This window comes from Homo sapiens, chromosome 13 (genome assembly GCF_000001405.40).
Source record: "Homo sapiens chromosome 13, GRCh38.p14 Primary Assembly".
Classification (NCBI taxonomy): domain Eukaryota; kingdom Metazoa; phylum Chordata; class Mammalia; order Primates; family Hominidae; genus Homo; species Homo sapiens.
The window spans coordinates 101,743,012-101,767,037 of NC_000013.11; the positions used below are offsets into that span (position 1 = coordinate 101,743,012).

At 37.1% G+C, this 24,026-nt stretch overlaps 1 protein-coding gene across 21 annotated transcripts in view, besides 1 other annotated feature; it reads right to left on the reverse strand.

Moving 5' to 3' along the window:
• FGF14 (fibroblast growth factor 14) overlaps positions 1-24,026 on the reverse strand; it is a 691,640-nt gene that overhangs the window by 32,208 nt on the left and 635,406 nt on the right. The window lies entirely within an intron of this gene.
• Positions 8,424-8,925: an enhancer, noted in NCBI's record as "NANOG hESC enhancer chr13:102403785-102404286 (GRCh37/hg19 assembly coordinates)". NCBI's record gives its function as "activates a minimal SCP1, AML or CMV promoter by ChIP-STARR-seq in primed H9 embryonic stem cells {active_cell/tissue: H9 hESC(primed)}" and the evidence as "EXISTENCE:reporter gene assay evidence [ECO:0000049][PMID:30033119]".

Here is a 24,026-nt window from a genome sequence, read left to right on the forward strand (position 1 = left end):
TTATCTACCTATGACCTGGAAGTCCCCTCCCTGCTTCAAGTTGTCCCGCCTTTCCAGGCTGAACCAATGTGCGTCATACATACATTGATTGATGTCTCATGTAGCCCTAAAATGTATAAAACCAAGTTTTGCCCCAACCTTCTTGGGCACATGTTGTCAGTACCTCCCGAGGCTGTCACAGGCATATCTTTAACCTTGGAAAAATATACTTTCTAAATTGATTGAGACCTGTCTCAGATACCTTTTGGTTTACAGAGACTAAGAATGAAGAGATCTGTAATACTGTCTGGCAGAATTCATATAACTGTGAGGCAGATCAATAAAATGAATTCAGATCTGTTTACCAATTGTGGAATTCTACAAATGGGAACATAAGCTTGTTGTTTAAGGAGGAAAATTTAAGGCTTTTTAATTAATTAATTTATTTATTTTGCTTTATTGGAAGATGCTATGAATGGAACCATCATCAAAACATTGTTATCTGTGATTGTCTAATTTGTAACAAAATATTAATAAAAACTGAATGAGGGTGAATCCCTCTTCTTTGAAGAACTGATAAAGAAGGCAAGTGTCACTTGAAAATCATTTAGAAATTATTTTTCTCTTGCCTTCACACTGTCAGTGATAGAATGTTCAGATAAAGAAACATATACAACGAAGCAATGTCTATGCTCTGTCTATATTTAAGTTTGATGTTCTTTTGAAAGAGAAAATAAATATTGAACATATTCACATCTGTAGATATTTTTACCATAAGCTTATTTCAAAGATTTAAGATATTCATCCATTTTCTTAAAAACTGAACCATATTTAAAGAGGGTTTACAAATCAGGTATATATACATATATAATTGCATCAAGTATTTAAAAGCTAGAGCACTCTATTTGAATATAGTATTTAACCTCAAAATTGTTTACAAATATACTGCACATGTTTTAGGAAATTAGAATAGAAACCAAAATAAAAGTTCCAAAATAAGAGTTAAGGATCCTAAGGAAATGCAGCATTGTAAAATTGAGATGATTCTGTGAGCAACCCCTCACCATGTTCCCATGACCACTAAAATGGCTGAGGATTAATTCAGTAACATTTGCAACCTTTGTATCTTACTAAGGTATTAAAATGCACACTAGGAATATAAACTTCTGCCTTTATGCTTTGATTGGGAGCTTGTGGGTGATTTTTTTATTGTATATGTTGAAAGTAGCATGCTAGAGCCTGGCCATAAATCCTTATAAAAATCCTACAGATCTACATCCAGTGAGACTTTACCTATTTCAGGGCTGTTACCACCTAATTCAGGGCTGCTACATGTATGTCATACAACTCTCGGGGACAAAGTCACAATTCCTGACCTTCTGGCTTATGTAGTTTCCCCATCTCCCTCCTCAACATCCAGAAATCACTATTCATCTTATTTTTGTGAGTTACATTTTTTTCATTTTAGCAGAATGCATTATATTCAATTAGAGTGGGGACTTTGTCAGTCACCTTTGCAAGTGAGTCTCCAGTGTCCAGAATAATGCACAGTAGATGATTAATAAACACGTATTAAATGAGTGAATGAATGAATAAGTAAGTGGTTTTAAAAAATGTTCTCTCTGAGCATCCAGGATTGTATGTGGGGGAATACAGCCTAAAAGAAATAGCTTTTAAATCTAAGAGCTAGGGGATGTAAATATTCCCATTGTATACTTGTAAGATCTAGAGCTGCAAAACAAAAACAAACGTGTCATTTTTATTAAGAATTGATGCTTTAAATAGTTTATTTCATTTTACTTATTAACACATGCGTGTATGTTCATTCGGTTAGCATTTATTGAGTGGCTACCTTGTGCTAGACTCTCTTCTAGGTGTTTGGGGTTCATGAATAATCAAAATAAGTTGGATCCCCTGCCCTCAAAGACCTTATATTTCAGTAGTGAGAAAAAGAAGGCACCAAACATCAAATAAATGTTTGAACACTAGTATGTGGTCAGAATTATGACTAGAATGGCAGAAATGACAAAGAATCATATGCCGCTCCTGATTCTGTAGGGGTTCATTTTATTTGGGAGAAAATTAATATGTAAGAACTTAAATAATAAGAATGTAACTAAATGATTATTCATGTCTTTTCTTGTTGGCTGGGTGAACTACATAGCACACTTATTCTGCGAGTGCTTTAGTAAGGATATATATACACGTTTTATTTAATAGAGAAGTTTTAAATTCACAGAAAAATTGAGCAGAGTACAGAGAATTCCCATATACCCACTGCCCCATGCCTAACTCCTCCCCATTATCAGCGTCCTGCACTAGAGTGGTATACTTGTTGCAATCAATGAACCTACATTGGCACATTATCATCACTCAAAGTACATACTTTACATTAGGGTTCACTTTGGGTGCTGTACATTCTATGGGTTTTGTCAAATGTATAAAGTCACGCATTACTATTATAGTATCACAAAGAACAATTTCATTGCCTAAAAAATATCTGTGTCCCACACATTCATCAATTCCTCCCTTCTAATTTAATCCCTGGTAATCAGTAATCTTTTTACTGTCTCCATAATTTTGCCTTTTCCAGAATGTCATATAGTTGAAATCATACAGTATGTAGTCTTTACAAGTAGGTCTATTTAACTTAGCAATATGCATTTAAGCTCCCTTCATCTCTTTTCATGGCTTGATAGCTCATTAGTAGATACTGTTTTAAATGTAGATGGTTTGGAAGAACTTTTCAAAGAAGGTAGGTTTGACCACGTCTTGAAGAATAAAGCTTATATGGAGAGAAGAGTGGAGTGTAGGTGGGTTTCATGGTGAGAACCTACATATGGAGGTGAAATGTTGAGAACACACTTAGGGGAATGAAGATGGAAACAGTTTGCTTGGGCAGAGTGCTCGCAAGATTGTAGATGGAGGTAAAAGTGGAAAAGGAGGTAGGTTTCAGACTGATTCATTTATAGTGTCCTAGAAAGAATGTGATAGAAAGAAAGAACAGATCAATTCAGCGGAGATGTGCAGGATAGATGGAGGAAGAAAATAAATATGTATGGTTAATATGTATGGTATTTAGATGTTACAGAAATTTTAAATGGCCTGCAATTAGAAATATTTAACATTGTCACATTGGACTCCTCTGAACCCAACCCTCTCAAATGTGGCTGAGATTAATTATTTGGAACCTTAATGAGTTGGTTTTGTGCAATTTCTTCATTTTATGAGTCTAGACACTAATTCACAACTATTCAGTTAGAACCTAGATTATGCTAAGAGGTTTACCGAGTTCAAACAGAAACTTCTCAAAAGTAATGATGTAAAAGGCATGTAGAGATGAAAACCTATGCCCCAAATCACCAGACAATATTCTCTATCTTGTTCTCAGTCTCAATTCACATGCTTCTCAGTCATCTTATATACTGACAGTATTTATTATTAGAAAATACTGAAAACTCTAGCTCAGTGGTGCTTCCCCCCAAAAATGTTAGTACTCATGCAATGTCGAATGCAATTTCAATATGTTCATATACTCCTAGAGAGTGCAGTTAAGAATTGTTGCTCTAAGTAATTAGGTAAGTAGATGAAGCTACTTATTTTCCCTTCTCTTGCTTTATTTTAGGCGAGAAGGGCAAACTGCATAAAGTGCCTGGTAGAGTTTGTGTGATGATCAACAGTAGGTAGGCAGGAGCATGAGAAGGCACTTTATCAATGCCAGGAGTGTGCTTTACTCAACCTGAGTGATTATTTACATGTTAAGCAGTCAGTGTTGTCCAATGTGAAAAATGGTGTCCCTTCTATCATGTGATATTCACATGGGAAACCCCTTAAAATTATCATAACGCATTCTCTAGCCATAATTCTGGTATACTTTAGAAACTTAATTGTATTCATTTCCAGAAACTAGCAATAGTTACAGCAAGAAACAGCATTCTACACCTTTTGACTCTCAGAAAACATTAGATTATTAGATTGGAAAATATACTTCATTCTGGGTAGACTGTCTAAACTATGATATTTGCCTCTAGGTTTGCCTGGTAACTAAAGTCTCTATGGTGTATAAGGCATTTTGTGGCAGGAAAGTGGTATGTTGAGCATTGTCAATGAAGCTCTTCTCCATTAGATAATGAGCCCCAAATAAGAAATAGATGAGTACCTGCCAAAGAAAGAAGCCTCAGAATAGCCTCTGGTAAAGGCAATTTAGCGACTGAGCTCTGCTAATGAGTACATGATAGATGCTGGGGAAAAAATGTCTTTCATCAAGACTGTGTGATTCATCCAGCAAACAAGTATTAGGTACCCATTAACTAGCAAGCTCTATAATAAGTGTCAGAGATTCAGCAGTGAAAAAGATATAATTTCCTGCCCTCAAGGAAGTTTACTGGGAAATTTAGACAGAAAGAAAAGTTACAAAATGCTACTTTGAAAATTAAAAAATTCAAACAGATCTAATTAATTACTTTTGGCAAGTTCTTTAAATGATGACTCTCCTTCTAATTGTTAAGGGATGAGACAAGACTGCAGGTAGACTAGGACACTTACATGAGGCTGATGATGAAGAAAACGACAAAAACTCACCTTACTGACCAACAAACATGAAAACATGCTCAACATTGCTGATCATCATTAAAATAAAAATGAAAATCACAATGAGATATCATCTCACACCCATTAGGATGGCTACAGAGGGAACAAACCTGTACAATGGCAGAAAATATCTGCAAACTATGCATCCAACAAAAGATTAACATGCAGAATCTACAAGGAATTCAGACAACAACAACATCAGCAACAACAAAACACCACATTAAAAAGTGGGGAAAGGAACAATTCTTAAAAGAAGACATACAAATGGCCAAGAAGCATATGAAAAAATGCTCACATCACTAATCAAGAGAAATGCAAATTAAAACCACAATGAGATATCATCTTGCACCAGAAAGAATAATTATCATTATAAAGTCAAAAAATGAAGGTGTCGGAGAGGATGCAGAGGAAAAGAAAAGGCTTACACATTGTTGGTGGGGATTTAACTTAGTACAGTATTTATGGAAAACAGTACGGAGATATCTCAAAGAACTAAAAATAGAACTAACATTCAATCCAGCAATCCCACTACTGGGTCTATATCCAAAAGAAAAGAAATTATTCTATAAAAAAAAGACACCTGGACTTTTATGTGTATAACAACACTACTCAAAATAGCAAAGATAGGTAGTCAACCTAAGTGTCCATCAACAGATGATTGGATAAAGAAGATGTTACATATATATGTATCACACACACACCATGGAATACTACCCAGCCATAAAAAAAGAATGAAATTATATATTTTGCAATAACATGGATGGAACTAGAGGTCATTATCTTAAGTGAAATAACTCATAAGCATAGAGCCAAATACCACATGTTCTCACTTATAAGTGGGAGTTAAATAATCTGTACACATGGACATACAGTATGGATTAATAGACACTGGAGACTTGAAAGGGGGTGAGGATAGGAGGGGGACGACAGATAAATTCTTTAATGGGTACAACGTACACTAAAAGCCCATACTTTACCACTATACAATACAGCCATGTAAAAAAACAGCAACAAAGAAAAACAGTACTAGTAGCCCCTAAATTATACAAATTAAAAAACAAAAAATAACAAGTGCTGTCAAGTATGTGGAGAAATTGGAGTCTGTGTGCATTGTTTGTGGAATTATAAAATCTTGCAGCCACTAAGGAAAAGAGTATGGAGGTTTCTAAAAAAAAAAAAAAAAAAAAAAAAAAAATAGAATTACTATATAATCCAGCAACTTCACTTCTGAGTATATGTCCCAAAGAATTGAAAACAGGGAGTTGAAGAGATACTTGCACATCCATGTTTACAACAGCATTATTCACAACATCTGAGAGGTGGAAGCAACCCAAATGTCCAGCAATGGATGAATGAATAAACAAAACTTGGTAGGTACACACAATGGGATATCATTTAGTTTTTAAAAGGAAGAATTCTGATACATGTTACATGAATGAACCTTGAGAACATTACGCTAAGTCAAATATGTCAGTCACAAAAAGACAAATACTATACAAATCCACTTATATGAGGTAACTAAAGTAGCTAAATTCATAGAAACAAATTAGAATTGCGGTTGCCGGTGGCTAGGGAGAGGAGGAAAGGGAAGTTGTTTGGTAGGTGAAGAGTTTCAGATTCGCAGGGTGAGATTTCTGGAGATCTGATGGACAGCCATATAAATATACCGAACAGTATTCAAGTGTACATTTAAAAATGGAAAGATTAAGCAAACTGTGGTACATCCATACCATGGAATATGACAGTAATAAAAAGGAATGAACTATTGATACATGCAGCAACATGTATAAATCTCTAGAGAATTATACAGAGCAAAACAACAATAAAAGTCAATCCCAAAGGTTACATATTGTCATATTTCATCTATGTAACACTCTTAAAATGACAAAAATACAGAAATAGAGAATAAAAAAGGGTTAAGATGGTAAATTTTGTATTTTTATCACAATTAAAATTTCTAAGTATGCAAAAGGAAAATAAACCCTATTTTACAACCTCCATGTTCAGAATCCAATGTTTTCTCTACATGTGTGTTAGGGTTAGGAGACACGTTTGACTTTTTGTCTATATAAATCTATATAAAGATTTGGAGTTTAGCAAATGTTGCATCTGAGAACATTTGTTACTTTTCAAACCAGAATTTTATTTGCCCTTTCTTCACATGGACTTTGAAAAATACAGTCCAACTGAGAGCTTCCTATCAGATAGTTTAAAAAATTATAAACTATTGTGAAATAATTAAAGAGATGACTACTAAAGCTGGTGTTTGCTGTGATCTGACATGTTTGTGTCCCTCCCCAAAATTAATATGTTGGAACCTAATCCCCACTGTAATGGTATTTGAAGGTGGGGCTTTGGAAGGTGGTTAGGCCATGAGGATGAATCCCTCCTGAAATGGGATTAGTGCTCTTATGAGGGACTGAAGAGACTGGAGTTCTCCCCTTTCAAGTGAAGACACATCGAGAAAACACTGTCCCCAAACCAGAAAGCCCTCATCAGATACCAAGTCTTCCAGCACTTTGATCTGGAGTTCCCAGCCTCCAGAACTGTGAGACATATATTTCTGTTGTGTATAAGCTACACAGTTTATAGTATTTTCGTGTAGCAGCCTGAATAGAATAAGATCATGTCTATGGTCAGAGCACAAATAAGATACAGCAATCTTTACACTTACTCTGGCTTGTGCAACAATGTTATGTATCCCAGCATATAACTGCCAGAATGGAACATTCCAGACTTACTGATATAGAGCACTTGACTATATTTCACTATACATACAGAATGACAAAAAAAAATGCAGGATGAACTGACAATAACCTTTAAGGATGAAAACAAACTGCAAGTTATAAAAGTTTTTAAAAATAGTAGTACATACACAAACACATATTTTGAGGAAAGGTTCCAATTTTGAGGGATGAATGGCATTCATCCATCTTCTTTTCTGCTGGAGAAGTCTTTGTGAAGGAAAATAATATTGTGAATAACAGGAGTGACTGTTATGTGATGTAGAAATGAAAATGAAAACTAATGCAAACAGTAACTGGGAGTGATGGGGCTAGTATGGTCACCAGAAAAGATAACTGACCATAGGATCTAAAAACCTTGATCCTTGGTGTTTACTCAAATGAGTTGGAAACTTACATCCACACAAAAACTTGGTGTAAATGTTCATGGCAGCTTTATTCCTAATTGCCAAAACTTGAAAGCAATCAAGATGGCCTTCAATAGGGGAATATACAAACAAGCTTTCCAGACAATGGAATATTATTCAGTGATAAAGGAAAATTATAAAGCCATCAAAAAATATGAGAAACCTTAAATGCATATTACTAAGTAAGAGAAGCCAGTCTGAAAAGCCTATACACTATACGATTCCAACTATATAACATTCTGGAAAAGGCAGAACGGAGACAGTAAAAATATCAGTGGTTGCCAAGGTCTAGAGGAGAGGGGGAGGGTGGAGAGAGGGAGGGATGATGAGTAAGTGAACACACAGGATTTTTAGGGCAGTGACACTATCTGTATGTTACTATAATGGTAGATACATGTCATTATACATTTGACAAAACCCATAGAATGTACAACACCTAGAGTTAACTCTAATGTAAACTATGGACGTTAGCTAATATTAATTTATCAATATTGGCTCGTTCATTATAAAATTTGTACCATACTAATGTAAGATGTGAATAAGGGAAATAGGTGGAGGGAGGGATGGGAGCAAAAGGGGTTTATGGGAACGCTCTACTTACTGCTCAATTTATCTGTAAAGCTAAAACTGCTTTTAAAAGTTTATTAATTGAAAAAATTAAAAGAGAAATTTGACTCAGGGTGGAGGAGGATGTTGGTCTGGAGGCAGAACTGTCGTAGGTGCTGCAAAGGCTCCCCCACTGATGTCTTAATAAGTTCCACAGTAGGAATTCTCAGCAATTATGCATCAGGGAAAATACATACATTAAGTTTCCAAGAACCACATTTAAAAGCCCAGGTTGACGAAGCAAAAATGGAATCTCTAGGTCAGGAGTGAGAAAACAACAAGCCCTTAGGTCATATACAGCCTGCCAACTGTTTAAGGAAAGTATGGTTGGAAGACAGCCAAGACCATTAATTTACATATTGCCTAAGGCTGTTTTTGACGTCCAAACGCAGTGGAGGAGTAGCAGTTGAGACCATCTGACCCACAAGCCTAAAACACTTAACTTGCACTTTACAGAAAATGCCTGCTGACTCCTGCTCTAGTTCCTATTGGCTAAATATAGCATTCATGGGATTCCCTAATGTTATATATAAAAAAAATAATGCTGAGATGTGGAAACCTTCTCTGGGGGAAAAAAACAAAACAAAACAAAAACAAACAAACAAACAAAAAAAACAACTCCATCCTTGGACACATACCTGTGAGAATATGAGATTTGCAGAGACTACTGTGGAGAATTTTTTTTTCTATCTGATCTATAGAGGTAACATAATATTCATGTTGATTCATTAAAATAACTCAATTGTGAAACAGATTAAACAGCATTCTACACCATATATTTTATTTCACTTTTAATTATCACCTTTGATACACTTTAACTCCTATCAGTAAATATGAATGGGCACATTTTAAATGAAGTCTGTAAGTAAAGAAATATCAACCATTAAAGAGAAAAATAGAAATATGAAGTACTTGTTTTTGCTTCACTAGAAATAACATCAAAAACATGTTTATATCATCTTTATCTTTTCAACAGTCTAATGCACTGTTGACCAGAGAAGAATGAAATAGTTAGAATTTGATGTAAATGAATTTTTAACATATTCTATACAAATTTTAATCAGTTGCATAAAATACAAAAGAACAGTAATCTACATGTATAAAATACAAACAAGTCTTAATATTGTGAATGATGATATTAAACTAAAAATAATATTATGAATGATGATATTAAATGAAAGTACTTGGCAAAGTCAGTCTCTGTATCATTTCAGAATGCTTTTAGCAACAAGGGAATTGTAGCTGAATTTGGGATTTCCCAAACTGCATTGGCTTACGCAGTGGAAAGTGAGCCCCTTTCATACAGAAAGTCTCTAAACCTTGGTGCTTCTAGTGTTAGATCAGTGCCTCTGAGTTCATCAGGAACTCATGTTCTCTCTATTTTTTCCCTTCTGCCATTCTAAGTTATTGATGACGTTCTCGCACATAATGGTTGCTCTAGCTCCAAACATTATATTTTCATAGAACAGCATCCCAAGTAGGCTAGAAGAGGGCAGGGCCAAAAAATGGCTATCTTTTTGGAAAAAGAAAATAGTTTCTCAGCAGCTTTCTAAAAAATATTATTTATCTTAATGTTCAGAACCAGGGGCACATAACCACACCTAGACTAATCACTGGATAAGCGAAGTGGGGCTGCTATGACAGATATAAAAAGTGAAATGTATTAATCACAGTTTAATTATGGTTTGATAATTGTTTAGTAGCCTTTAACCAAACATCAACTTCCAGAATTAGGACATATGACCCCCTAATAAAAGCAGGTTCTGTTAGTGAGGATGAAGGAATTCTTTTGGAATTAAGGTAAATTTATCTTTCTCTTGCAACATTTTAAATATATAAGTGATATATATTTAATGGTATGACCCAATTAAAAAATATGACATGCAAATGCAATTCAGTAATACCACATTCCATATATTATATATGATCAAATACACACACACACAGACACACACAGACAGACACACACACACACACACACACACACACACACGGTCTGTAATTTGAATGGTGGTAAAAGAAGACCTAAATTCTATTTTAGTTCCACCTTCTCAACTTAAAGTCTTAAAGTATTTTGTTCCTAAATATTGATTTGCTTTTTTGGATTTTGTGGTTTGCAAATTTTTATTGTTGTCATTGAAAATGTAATTTAAACCAATATTTTTCTTATTAAAATTTCCTTGTTGGCCAGGCGCGATGGCTCACGCCTGTAATCCCAGCACTTTGGGAGGCTGAGGCAGGCGCATCACCTGAGGTCAGGAATTGGAGACCAGCCTGATCAACATGGAGAAACCCCGTCTCTACTAAAAATAAAAATCAGCTGGGCGTGGTGGCGCATGCCTGTAATCCCGGCTACTGCAGAGGCTGAAGCAGGAGAATTACTTGAACCCGGGAGACGCAGGTTGCAGTGAGCTGAGATGGAGCCATTGCACTCCAGCCTGGGCAACAAGAGCAAAACTCCGTCTCAAAAAAAAAAAAAAAATTTCCTTGTTTATCTCAACAGTGTAGGAGAGTTTCTGGTACTCGTTATTGAGTAAAAGCTCAAAAAACATCCTTTAAATGCCAGGCAAGGAGACCTATGTTTGAAGAAAGTAGCCAGATGAGGCCATTGAACACTGCCCATGAAAAAAACAAAAACAAAACAAAATAGAAAACAAAGTAAGAAAGCGGCCAAATCTGGAGACCACGTATGCCCGCGTGCCTGGAATAGCCATTTCTTTGCCTTTTCGTGCTAGCTAGATTACTCTTAAGAATGTTTTGAGGATGAATGTTGTCATCTTCCTAGTTTGGAGTTGGATTAGGTGTCTCCTAGGCTGTTTCTCTGGCTCCCTGAAGCTCCTCAGCTGCTGGGGCTCCTAGGGGCTGATCCAGGGTGCCGCATGGTCACTGTTTCAGTGCAGATGGTATGGACAAAGGAGCCATCCACCCATGTGTGTTTCCTCCTGCCTTAATAAAAAAGTAGAGAAAAGCCAGCTTCTTCTTTGTTGCCAAGAGTTATCACAGAGCTCTGCTCAGACAGTATCTTTCCCTGTTGCTCTATCTTTGTCAGTGTTTCTAATGTGTTTAAGCCATATCACTAGAGTATACCTTCATTTTAACAATAACAAATGGCCAGGTGCAGTGGCTCACACCTGTAATCCCAGCACTTTGGGAGGGTGAAGCAGGTGGATCGCCTGAGGTCAGGAGTTCAAGACCAGCCTGGCCAACATGGTGCAACCTCATCTTTACTAAAAATACAAAACTCAGCCGAGCGTAGTGGCATGCACCTGTAGTCCCAGCTACTTAGGAGGCTGAGGCGGGAGAATTGCTTGAACCTGGGAGGCGGAGATTGCAGTGACCCGAGATCACACCACTGCACCCCAGCCTGGGTGACGAAGTAAGACTCCATAACAAAAAGAAAAAAATAATAATAATTTCTTAACAAAAATAGTTGAACAGTTCCTGTGATTTCCATTCTATAAATGGAGAATCTGAAAATCCAAAATACTCATAATAATGATGAAGAGGAAGATGACAGTTATTAAACTTGGAGAAAAAAATCAGTTCTCGGTTCTCATTTAACTGTAAACTAGGGTTAAAATGCTAAGTAGAATACACTTCCTAACAGAAATGGAAGTTAAATGACATATCTTTTTGCCTAAGAACTTATACGGCATATCAACATTGTTGCAAGAAAACAGGAAGGAGTAAATATCTAAGTATGTACATATAAACTTATACAAACAAATACTACAGAAACATTACTATATGTGATATAGTAATCATAACAATGTCTGGAAATATCAAACTTTGGGTTAAAATTACTTTTGAGTTTAGTTCAAAAGAATGCAGAGAAGACATTCTAGAAATACTTAGAATAGCTCACGTTAGCTACGTTTTTTCACAAAGATGCATAACATAAGAATAAAATAATTCTCACTTCACACTACCCACCCTCTTAATCCTTGTATATTCTTTCCCAATTTTCTTTATGTCTGTCAATTGCCTCTTAAACTTTACGTTACACATGAAGAACCAGAGGCGAGGCATGGTGTTTCATGCCTGTAATCCCAGCACTTTGGGAGGCTGAATCAGGATTGCTTGCACCTCGGAGTTTCAGTTTGCAGTGAGGTATGATCACACCGCTGCACTCCAGGTGACAGAGTAATACCCCGTCTCTTCCAAAAAAAATGAGTAAATAAAAAATAATGATCAAAAGAGTTGGCTAAAAATAAATCAGATCAAATTTTCAAGGAATTCAGAAAAATTGGGGTAATTTGATCTCAAACTGGAGAGAGAATTGAAGAAACTGCCTGAATTGCTGTTCTCCACATGGACAGGACTGTCATATCTTATCAGTTGACAAACAATTAGGCATATTTGTCATCTGATTAGTCTGCAACTGGTGGGAAAGTCTGAGTGGCTTCCTCATGAAGTAATTGAATTGCATTTTTTCTCTTTCAACTCTAATTTGCAAAGGAAAGTTTAGCCCCATGTCAGCTTTAGGCTGGGTTAGTGATAAGAGTATATGCTTATTCTCAACCCACATACACTTTTCAAGAACGTCTTCTATAGTTTTAAAATGGGAGTTTTTTAATTAATGGAAAAAGTACCTAATCTTAAAGACAGGAGTAGCTATTCTCAGGTAAATAATACATGAACAAGAGAGATTGTAAAAGTTATTAGTGTAGCTCTTCCCAATTCTATATAAAAATCATATGCCATTGTTACAGATACTATTTTAGTACGAGAGCACAGCAGGCTGAATTTTCTTGGAAGAAAGGTTTCAATTCAGACTGCAACCTTCCTTCAAAAATACAATAATGATAAAGCCACCCATCCTTCAAAGACTTACCTTTTTCCAAAGTTAATATCTCCTTATGAACTTAGATTAAAGTTAAAAATTTATTTTAGACTAATTCATGCCACATAAAACCTTTCTTTGTGTTTTAATAGAAATGCATTTTTATAATATGCTATTTTTCTGGCTTGTAGAGGTAGATAAAAATGAAAGTCATTTGTACCTGAGAATCCAAGTTTAATTGCCGTAGTCTTGTTTTGCATGAGTTTAGTTGTTTTTTTTATTTGTAAGATAACCATTCAGTGTTCTAGAAACACTCTTTAAAATAGTCTTAAAGCCAGGCACGGTGGCTCACGCCTGTAATCCCAGCACTTTGGGAGGCTGAGGTGGGCGGATCACGAGGTCAGGAGATTGAGATCATCCTGGCCAACATGGTGAAACCCCGTCTCTACTAAAAATACAAAAATTAGCCGGGTGCGGTGGCACATGCCTGTAATCCCAGCTACTGGGGAGGCTGAGGCAGGAGAACTGCTTGAATCCAGGAGGCGGAGGTTGCCATGAGCTGAGATCGTGCCACTGCACTCCAGCCTGGGTGACAGAGCAAGACTCCTTCCTCCACCACCAAAAAAACAAAAAACAAACAAACAAACAAACAAAAAACTGTCCTAGAAAAGAAGCAAATAACAGTTGAATCTACATATTTTCATACAATTGGCACTATCCTGAGCCCAGATTTTTTCTGTCAATAATTATTAAAGATCAAATTTTAAAAAATTAAGTTAGTATAAAAAGTGCTCAGAATACATAAATATTACTTGTATTCATAGTGTTGCAAATTTTGAGTTGAAATTTTAAGTACTACAAAAAAATATTTATTGAGGTGGTTTTAAGAATAACATTGAACTCTGATATCAAACCGAGAGATTTTAGCAGAGGAGTTATAACACAAATGTTTTACTTTCTAAATCTGAACTATAAAAGATAAACCAAATATGGTGTTCAACATTAATTTCTTAAGGTTGACCTAAACTGAGCTCTCTAATTACTATGTGAACATTTGGATTTTCTTTTTCTCCTTTGGTATCTAGAGAATATGTTTGTCTTATTTCTAAATCACCATATAAAACTTAACAAAGTCCTATAGCCTTTTGTTTGCTTGTTTTTATGAAACAAATTTGGGGTTCTATTTTCTCATATGTTTAGTTGTGTGTGTCTTTTGGGAGAAAAGGGGGGAATATATTTTGAATTGGAATTGAAGCAGATAATTTTAAAATTCAGAGCTGAATTTATTAATAAGGAATTTTATCCTAAAATACAAACTGAGAAATTTGCAATAGCTTGGTTTTAAATATTCCCACAAGACTAATAGATTATTTAGAAATTGAAAGTTATTAATTATTCATGTAAGAATCACTTCTCAGCCTCTCCTTCACCTTGAGTAAACAGTTATACAATCCAATTTTATGAGATGGCTACAGAAGATGCCCTTACTTTATATGCACCCTGATTTAGATAAAGGTCACCCTCTAGTGGGGTTGATATGTATTTCAATCTCAAACCTCACTCAATTGCCTTGCCTTTGAATAGCAAAATGATTGATTTTGAAAACCAAATGCAAATCCAGGTTCAGGGATTTTTATCAGCGTGTCAAAGATGAAGAGATACAGATTATTGTATTTAGCCCCAGGAAACTGGGATTAAGAAATTCAAAGACCCACTAAGCTTATTAATGTCATGTTAAAGTCATTGTGAATACCTTAAAGTGGATTTAAATGACAGTAGAAAAGTAAGTAGCCTGGTCCTAATTTCTAAAATGGAAGAATAAAAATCTGCCATTTTCCTGGTTAAGTATCACAATTTTAGAACTTCTGCATCCCATTTAGAACTTATATATATAAAACATCTAACATGACTGCTTATATTGTAGGCAACCTGTGGATTCTCTTGAAGTTAAACAATTAGAAAATAAGAGCAGTGTTTGTAAATTAAATATAAGCTCAATAATATGCTTACTATTTATTGAACACTTACCTTGAACTAAGTGCCTTTTTGTACATTATCTTAGTTTTATAATGACAACAGAAAATAATCTAAAGAAAAACTATGAAGGATCAATTATCATTGTTTTATTCAGACAAGGAAATGGAAGCTGAGAGCAGCAGTTCTAACTTTAGCATGCATCAGAATCACCCAGAAAGCTAGTTAAAATGTAAGTCTGGGGACAGAGTAGGAGCGAGTTTGCATTTCTAACAAGTTCCCAGGTGATGCTGATGCTGTTTGTCTAGGGACCACACTTTGTAAATCACTGCACCAAGTTAGAATGCAAATATGGCTTTTGCTAGCAAATTCCTTCAGTGTGAGTATGATGAGCACTTGCTAGTAGCTTAATATATTTTACTCTTCTGCCCTTGTAGAGCATAACATGGTAACTATGTGGACCTAGTAACAATAAAGATACAGTAACCATAAAGACACAATAACTAAATAATTGCAGGGCTTGCTTGGCACCCAGAAATCTAAACCTAATACTTTCTCTTATTTCTTGACCTAACTTTCTAGTTCTCTATGTGGTTGGCAACAAATCGAAAAAGTCCATGAAAGGATGTAACATCCTACAGGAACATATGTAGTGACTGAGTATAGATCAGCAGTCCTCACAATTCAGTGTGCATTTGTATCTGGGCCCCATGAATTTCAAATCAGCAGTTCTGGGTTGAGGGATGAGGTATCTGCTCTAATAAGCACCCTAGATGATTCTGATGTAGGTGTTGTTTCCAACATGCTTTGAGACAATCTGACTTAAAGATTCAACAGATGTTTGGTTGCTTCTTCCATGAGAAAACAACAATAACAAAAGCACCTTTTCCATGAGAGATCAAATTTCCAACCAAATCTTGGTTTAGAGCATGCCAGAGCTCTGACTATGACTGCTTTCTGAGTCAAGTGCAGAACAGAGCTACTACTGCACAGAGTTATCGTGAGTATTGTCATTTTGACAATTCTGCATCCAAACACACGTTGATTTGGGTAGAGTCACAAGACAGGTGAGAGGTAAGAGCCTATCCCTAACTTTTCTGTCCCCTTCCACTAACCCCAGCAATTAGGGAACCGTAGATGATGTCATGTGGCCAATGAGATGCTCTCAACTGGGAGTCTGAATCTTGAGGGGGTGAGGCACATATATATGTACATGTATTAGGGAACCTGGGATGGAGTAGAGAATGCAGTGATGAATCCAAGAGTGATCAGGATGGCTAAAGATCATAACGCATCAGTGGGCAATAAGCAGTTAGCGGAGGTGGGGCCAGTGGTGCAGCCCATGCAGACTGTATCTGGCTGGGCTATTTCTCTTCTCTCCCATAGTAGCTTGGTTGCCTGGGATTCATACAGATTCTCTGAGTGCCCATTACCCTTCCGACCCATTGTTACGATTCTTAACATCTGATCCCTAGGTTGGAAAGACAGGTTCACATCATTCAATGAATAACTGTCTCACCTATTTTAATTTTACATATGACCTTCTTACTGATGTGACTCCTGGGAAAATAACTTAATCTTTTGGGCTTCAGTTTGCTCAGCTGTAAAATTAAGAGGGAGGAGGCAATGTTCTCTATGGCACTTCTCAGTCCTTAAGATCCTGTCCTATTTAGCCTTATAATAGTCTTTGGGTGGGAGCTATTACTGTAGAGAAAAGAGGATCAGATTTGTTATCTAGCCCTTTTCTGCAGAGGTAGAAATGGAATTTAGATAAATGAAAGGATCAGCCTGGAAGTTTCAGAGGCTGTTTCCCTCTCTTCTTATAAGCTAAACTTAGTGGCAGCTAAAAAACCTAATAAACTCCTAAGAGGAAAAAGGATTTCCCAACTGACAGAGAAATCTTGTGTTTCTTCATCTAATACCAACCCCTGAGCCTGCAAAAAATAGGGGTGACTCCAATGGTCTTTTCCGCACAGAATACAGTACTAGCAACTAAAGAGAAAATCCACTTTTTCATACAACATAGGGTAACAAAGTATCCTTAGATGGAACTATTTTTGATGGAAACAAACCTGAGTGAAATATGAACCAGTACGTGAGAATGAAAGGCAAGACTATTCCTATCAGATTCTTTGAAAGCATTTCAGTTCCTAGAGTCTGGGAAATAAAATATATCTATTTGGGGCTTACTCTACGTTCACTGCTTCCTGTCTAGCTTTCACCCTCTATTAAAAAGGCTTTTGTCTAAGACCTTCACTTATTTGGTGACTTAATATTCACCCTATCAATACCTATTGTTAAATGATGCCTATTCACATGATAATTTTCAGAGTCACAAAGACTGTCGCAGGGAGAGTTAAAGTGGCAACAAAATCGATGAAAAGTAAGCATAAAGTGCACTTTGAAAATGGCTTTCCAGTGTTTCACGTGCTCAAAGAACTGTTCATGCTGTTCCCTTGATCAAAAGCCGTCAGTGGCTCCCCATCCCTTAAACTGCTTTTGGCATGTGATACTCTGAAATTGCCTTAACCAACCACCTCATCCATCCATGTACTCATTCAAATGGTAACAAGTGCTTACTGAGCATCTATTGCATGCTGATCACCTGATATAGTATTTTCTTTAATTCCTTCCAGCCTCCCTGGTATTCCCCGTCTTGCTTCCATTACTTTATTTTTCTCTTCCCAATACCCACTGATTTTTGAAACTTATTTGTTTATGATCTGTCTTCTTCCACTGGAATGTAAGTCCTAGAGTAGCCTACAACAGGTAGACAATGAGCATTTGTCTAATAAATCTAAAGCATTTAAAAATATTCAAAGTCAGCAGGCTTAATATTTTGTAGAATTAATTACTCTCTTGAAGGATGAAAAAAAAAGTATTACTTCACCTAAATACCCTATTAAAAATTTAATCCTTGGATAAAATTCTAATACAGTAATCTTACTTTTCAAACCAAAATATTAATTAGGCACACTTCTTCTCCAATTCCATTTACTAACAAAGGTTATAAGGCCCAATGCCTTAAATTAGAGACATTTGTCATAGTAAAACAACAAAATAATGCTATGTGATTCTATGTAGTTTACATGTAAAAATAACTTTTAGCTTTATATAATTTGCGAACCTTCAAATAAATCACAGAATATGCAGGAGAAAACACAAACCAGATTCTTTAACTTATATACTGCCTAAAAATGAGGAAAAATGAGACATAATGACACACATAGATAGAGATTTTCTTGCTAGTTGGAAAACTCAGATGAGAAAGTTATACCACAATCTATGTTGTATTTTGGGGTATTTTAAAGACCACAGTGACTGCTGCCTGTCACTTGGCCAGTCAGGGGAAAGTTCAAAACTTGGACCCCACGTGACTGTGGGTCTCTGTCAGCAAGTCCCCTTCTACTGTTCTGAGGCATGCAGAAAGGTCGACTATAGACAAATGCTTATTTAGGTTTCTTGGTCAAGTTAGCAGCAATGACTATAGTTAACAATAATATATAGTTTCAAAGAGCACCAAGGAGGATTTGAATGTTCCCTACACGAAGAAATAATAAATGTTAGAGATGATGGCTAGGCTAATTACCTTGATCTGATCACTGTACACTATATATAAAAACATCACTATGTACTCCATGAATATATACAATTATGATTTGTCAATTAAAAAATTAAACATTACAATTTATCAAGAAAACAACGCTTGTCCTCACTAATGGCAGTTGGGTAGGCATTTCTCTGCCATTATTCAGTTCATAATCTAATGGCTTAAAATCACAATTAAAGGCTCCCATCTCTGGGAACACAAACCAACACAAGAGTCCCTAAGAGAGAGGCCGCCAGGGAGTTAGAATTGGACAGGAACCAGCTAATTCCAGCCCTTTTTGATTCTGCTGATTTTGATATCTGAATACTAAGCAGTATAGGTTGATGATCTGTGTAGCAACCATGTGAGGTACTGTGCTGTGCTGTGAGTAGCCTGCTCCATTGATAGAGACTTAATAAACTTGGTAAAGCCAAAATCCAAATGGTAGGAGCATTTTGTCTGATTTCTAGTAGCACTGTTAAACATGCTTTGGAAAAGCTTGGAGGGATGTGTGCCTATGTGAAAGAGGGTTAAGCTACAGAATGCTGCAGTAAATCTTGCCTGGCAATGCAATATTTTGAAATAGCAAGACACAAATATGAAATTGGCAATATATGCCTTCAGCTGGATAAGTGTTTCAGTGAATTCTTCTAACCCCATTGTGCAAAATCCCAACCTTCGGACCGAGTTTAAGATTCTAAACAAGAAACTCACACATTTATTATATCAAAAATACCTTTGTCAGGGGCATTATATTCAAGTAAATCAAGCAAAGGCATAATTGTCCTTCTCACTCTATCTGCTTTGAGCTATCCATTGAAAGACTAACAGGAAATATATACTTAGGTAATACATATAAATATAATAACAATTCAGTCAGTTGTTGTTGGTCTGAGTGATTATGTAACGTGGGTCAAGAAATGAAACAATATGGCAAAACCAAAATAGCTGGCCCATCGGCATTGCTGCAAATGCTCCCTTAGTTGAATGGAGATAACCATAGTTCAATCAAAATAATTGTAAGTTTGCCATCTTTCTTTACACTTCAGTATTAAATACCTGCTGGGAACCTGAAATAGGCCAGTTTTCCTTGAACTGTATGGAATTAGCAATTGTCACATTTCATTTTTCCAAATCCGTATCATGTCAAATCCTACCTCCCATGGTGTCACATTTTTCCCTCTTGCCCAGAGGAATATTTTCATGCTAGTCAGTAGGTTGTATTTAGGCAGGCTCTGACACTGCCATAGGGAATATCAGTGCTGCACCAAACACACACCCTGCCTCCAGCATCCAGCCTTCAGCCCCATCATAAAAAGGTCAGACGCCATCTTTCAGACCACTAACTGCCATTTCTCTTTATCATCACAAGGAAAGGCAAACATAGGGTTTGTTGGAAGTGTGTAGAATGCACAGAAGTAAGCAAATTTGGCCTAATGAGTTTGGCAGGGTTGGAATTAGAGAGAATAGAGTGTGATGAAGTGAAAGGCACAGCACAGAGACCTGTGATTACAGTTAGAAACACCATTTTACCTGTGACAAAGTCAAAGATCACAACATTCTCCAGTCAGTCATCCCCAGCTGTGGTTAGGCCAGCTGTAAGGCAAGGGGTGCTCTCTGTAGCACTGATTGGCATAAGATTGGTTGTCTCAGGTGGCTGGAATGTACCACTGTCAATATGTAATGTACTCAACCCATGGGATGGAATGAACAGTATTTTAAGGACCTAGTTCTTTTTTTCCTAATAAGGAAATACCACTTTAATGACAAGATTGAGACAGGCATAGTGAAGGAACTTTGTGTGTGGAGACATCAGGAGTGAAATTTGGTCCTGTATTTATGCATTTCCTTTTCCTCTCTAGCGTTAATTTGAGGTAAGAAACTTAACTTCCTGGCTGGGCATGGTGACTCATGCCTGTAATCCCAGCACTTTGGGAGGCCAAGGCAGGTGGATCACCTGAGAGTAAGGAGTTTGAGACCAGCCTGACCAACATGGTGAAACCCCATCTCTAGTGAAAATACAAAAACTAGCCAGGTGTGGTGATGCACACCCGTAATCCCAGCTACTTGGGAGGCTGAAGCAGGAGAATGGCTTGAACCTGGGAGGCGGAGGTTGCAGTGAGCCGAGATTGCACCACTGCACTCCAGCCTGGGCAACAAGAATGAAACTCTGTCTCAAAAAACAAACAAACAAACAAACAAAACTTAACCTCCCCAGAGCAGCAGATTGAGACTGGCATGGTGAAGGAGCTTTGTGTGTGGAGACATCAGGAGTGAAATTTGGTCCTATATGTATGCATTTCCTTTTCCTCTCTAGTGTGAATTTGAAGTAAGAAAGTTAACCTCCCCAGAACAGCAGCTGACCAAAGTGGCAGAAGCTAGTAAGAAGTCTGTCCCCTGGGGCACAGGGATCCATCACTGACACTGTTAAGAATTGTTGGCACTGAGTGGAAATAAAAAGCACGGTAAATTTTAGTTGGTTTTATTATTCTTATTTTAATACTCTGATTCCAATATACTTTCTTGTTGGCTGAACCCTGGGATAGTTTCCGCTGACCCTCTGCCCCTGCTGGAGGTCTCTAAGCTTCAGTTCACTGATTTGCGTATGGCAATTTCAGCATCTGCTCCTACTACCCCACAGAATTGTGAGGATCAAGGTAGTAATGGGTGAGAAAGTGTTCTGTAATTGTCAAGCAAGTTGCGCAGTTAAGCACATGATTATCTGAGGTGTGGAGCAGAGTGAATGTGATGGAAAATTGAACCTCACTGGTGATCTCCCAACTCTGTCTTTGCTCTTGCTTTAGAATTATTTTCCCTAACCCACAAGTGTTGCAGAAAAGGGGCGATTAACAACAAAATGAGATTCACTAGTTTGAGCATCAGCTTGTTTCTTCACTCTCCCTGCTTATTCTGAGCAGTTTCTCAAGCTTGGCATGATTGGCCTTTTGGGCCATGTCATTCTTTGTCATAGGGCTATCCCATACGATGTAGGCTTAGTGGGATTCCTGGTCTCTACCCAGAAGATTGCACCTCCCCCACCACACCCAAGCTGTGACACAATGGCAAGAGGTACTGAAGTTAAGGAAGCCGGAAAATTTTCAAATAGTCTTTATTTCCAAATAGTCTCAAATGTACTTTTCATAAAGCAACCAATTCTGAATTTTAAAACAGCTTGTATGGAGTTGAATTTGACCTTGGATGAGAATTAGCATTTTAATATACCACTAAATGATAGTGATCCCACTGGGTTGAATACGAAAATCACTCAAGGACTGTAACTTCCCCCATCTAGAGTCTCTATGTGTTTGTCATAAAGTCATGCTTTATGCACACAATAGATCAGAGGCATTTTGTGAGCAAGGAGCTCTCCTTGTCCCATTTTGATTTGGTTCATATATTCTACAACCTTTATATGAAAGCAATATCAAAGGATGACTTAGGTCATCATGACTACATCAGGACAATGATAATACTCTGCCTCTGGCACATATATTCCTTCTCTTAATTCTGCTCTTTCTCCTCCCTACTTTATATTTCAGTTGTCAGATATTAGAGTTGACAAGCTAATGAAAATTGAATTGACTACTAAAAAACTCACACATACAAAGATAGAGAAATTACTTGAAAATTCCCTGTTTGGGTCAATTCAATGCAGACCCTTGCTTGGCTGCAACTGTAAACCCATCCAGCCTCTAAATGGCATTACTCTACAACTGACAACATTGGTCCCTGGGAACACTGCCATAGATTAGGTTAATAGTGGTAAAAAGATGCCTTGCTGTCTCTCACAAATTGTGCTAGAAGACAATGATGGCCTCCATGGAGGCAAGCAGGTGAACTGATTGCTTAGGGAAATCTCAGAATTGGTTCGTTATACCTTCCTACTCTTTCCTTTATAGAATCTTTACTTGCCAAATATGTATTTCATGCTACAGATTCATACAGTTGTGAAATGAAGACCACATAAGAGAATCAATATGTGAAACAAATCCTCTGTGCATATAGAAGCCTTTTATTTATTATTATTATTATTATTTTATTTATTTATTTATTTATTTATTTTGAGACGGAGTCTCGCTTTTGTCGCCCAGGCTGGAGTACAGTGGTGCGATCTCGGCTCACTGCAACCTCTGCTACCTGGGTTCAAGCTTCTCCTGCCCTCAGCCTCCTGAGTAGCTGGGATTACAGGCACCTGCCACCATACCCAGCTAATTTTTGTACTTTTAGTAGAGACGGGGTTTTGCCATGTTGGCCAGGCTGGTCTCAAACTCCTGACCTCAGGTGATCTGCCCACCTTGGCCTCCCAAAGTGCTGGGATTACAGGCATGAGCCACTGTGCCTGGCCAGCCTTTTACTTCTTAAACAAATCTATGGAAATCACACTTCTCAAAATTGTGAGCCTCAATAATTTGGAAAACCGGGCTTAATAATCATTAATCCTCATCTACAATTTTATAACCAGAAACTGTACTAGCTGGAATGATATCATTCAGGTGCAAGATATTTGATGTGAGTATGAAATGCCAATATTTTAAAAAATGAATTGCATAGTTCCATCAAGTCAAGGCACGTGTGTGTTTCCTCATGATGTCCATGGAGGCAGAAGTCACAACCTTCTCTTTTTCTTCCTCTCTTCCTTTTTTCCAATTCTTACTACGGGCTTCCATGAGCTAAAAATTGGTTGGTGTTCACATAGAGACCTGAATAAGTCAACTCCCTGCCCTCCAGGATTGCACAGACAATAAGAGGAAGCAGATATTTATTTAGCAGACTCTTGCAATATGTTGTTAGGGGCATTATGACAGAAGGGAGCAAAACAGGCAAAATAGACACAGAAGATATGGGAGGAAGGAGTTCTCAGAAGAGTGTTGAACAGCATCAAAAGCAGTGGAGAAGTTGAGTAATATGAGTGCAGTACTGGGCTGAAGAGTGTCCTCCAAAAATCCATGTCTACCTGGAACTCTGAATATGACTTTATGTGGAAATGTGGTCTTTGCAGATGTAATTAGTTAAGTTTACTTTAAATAAGGTCATAGTAGTTTAGGGTGGGCCTAAATCTCATGACTGGCATCCATATAAAAAGAGGAGACACATGGGGCAAAAACACACACACAGGGGACACCATGTGAAGGCAGAGGTAGAGATTAGGGTGATGCGTCTACAAGCCAAGGAATGCCAGGCACCTCCTGGGAATGAGGAGAGAGGCATAGAACTGATTCTCCTTCAGATCCTTCAGAAGGCACCCACTATAAATAATACAGGTAGTTTTCCTGTATTATGCATAATAGTCTTAAATAGTCTTAACTAGGCTTTAAATGCAATTAATCACTAATTTGTAATGTTTGTCTGTTTAT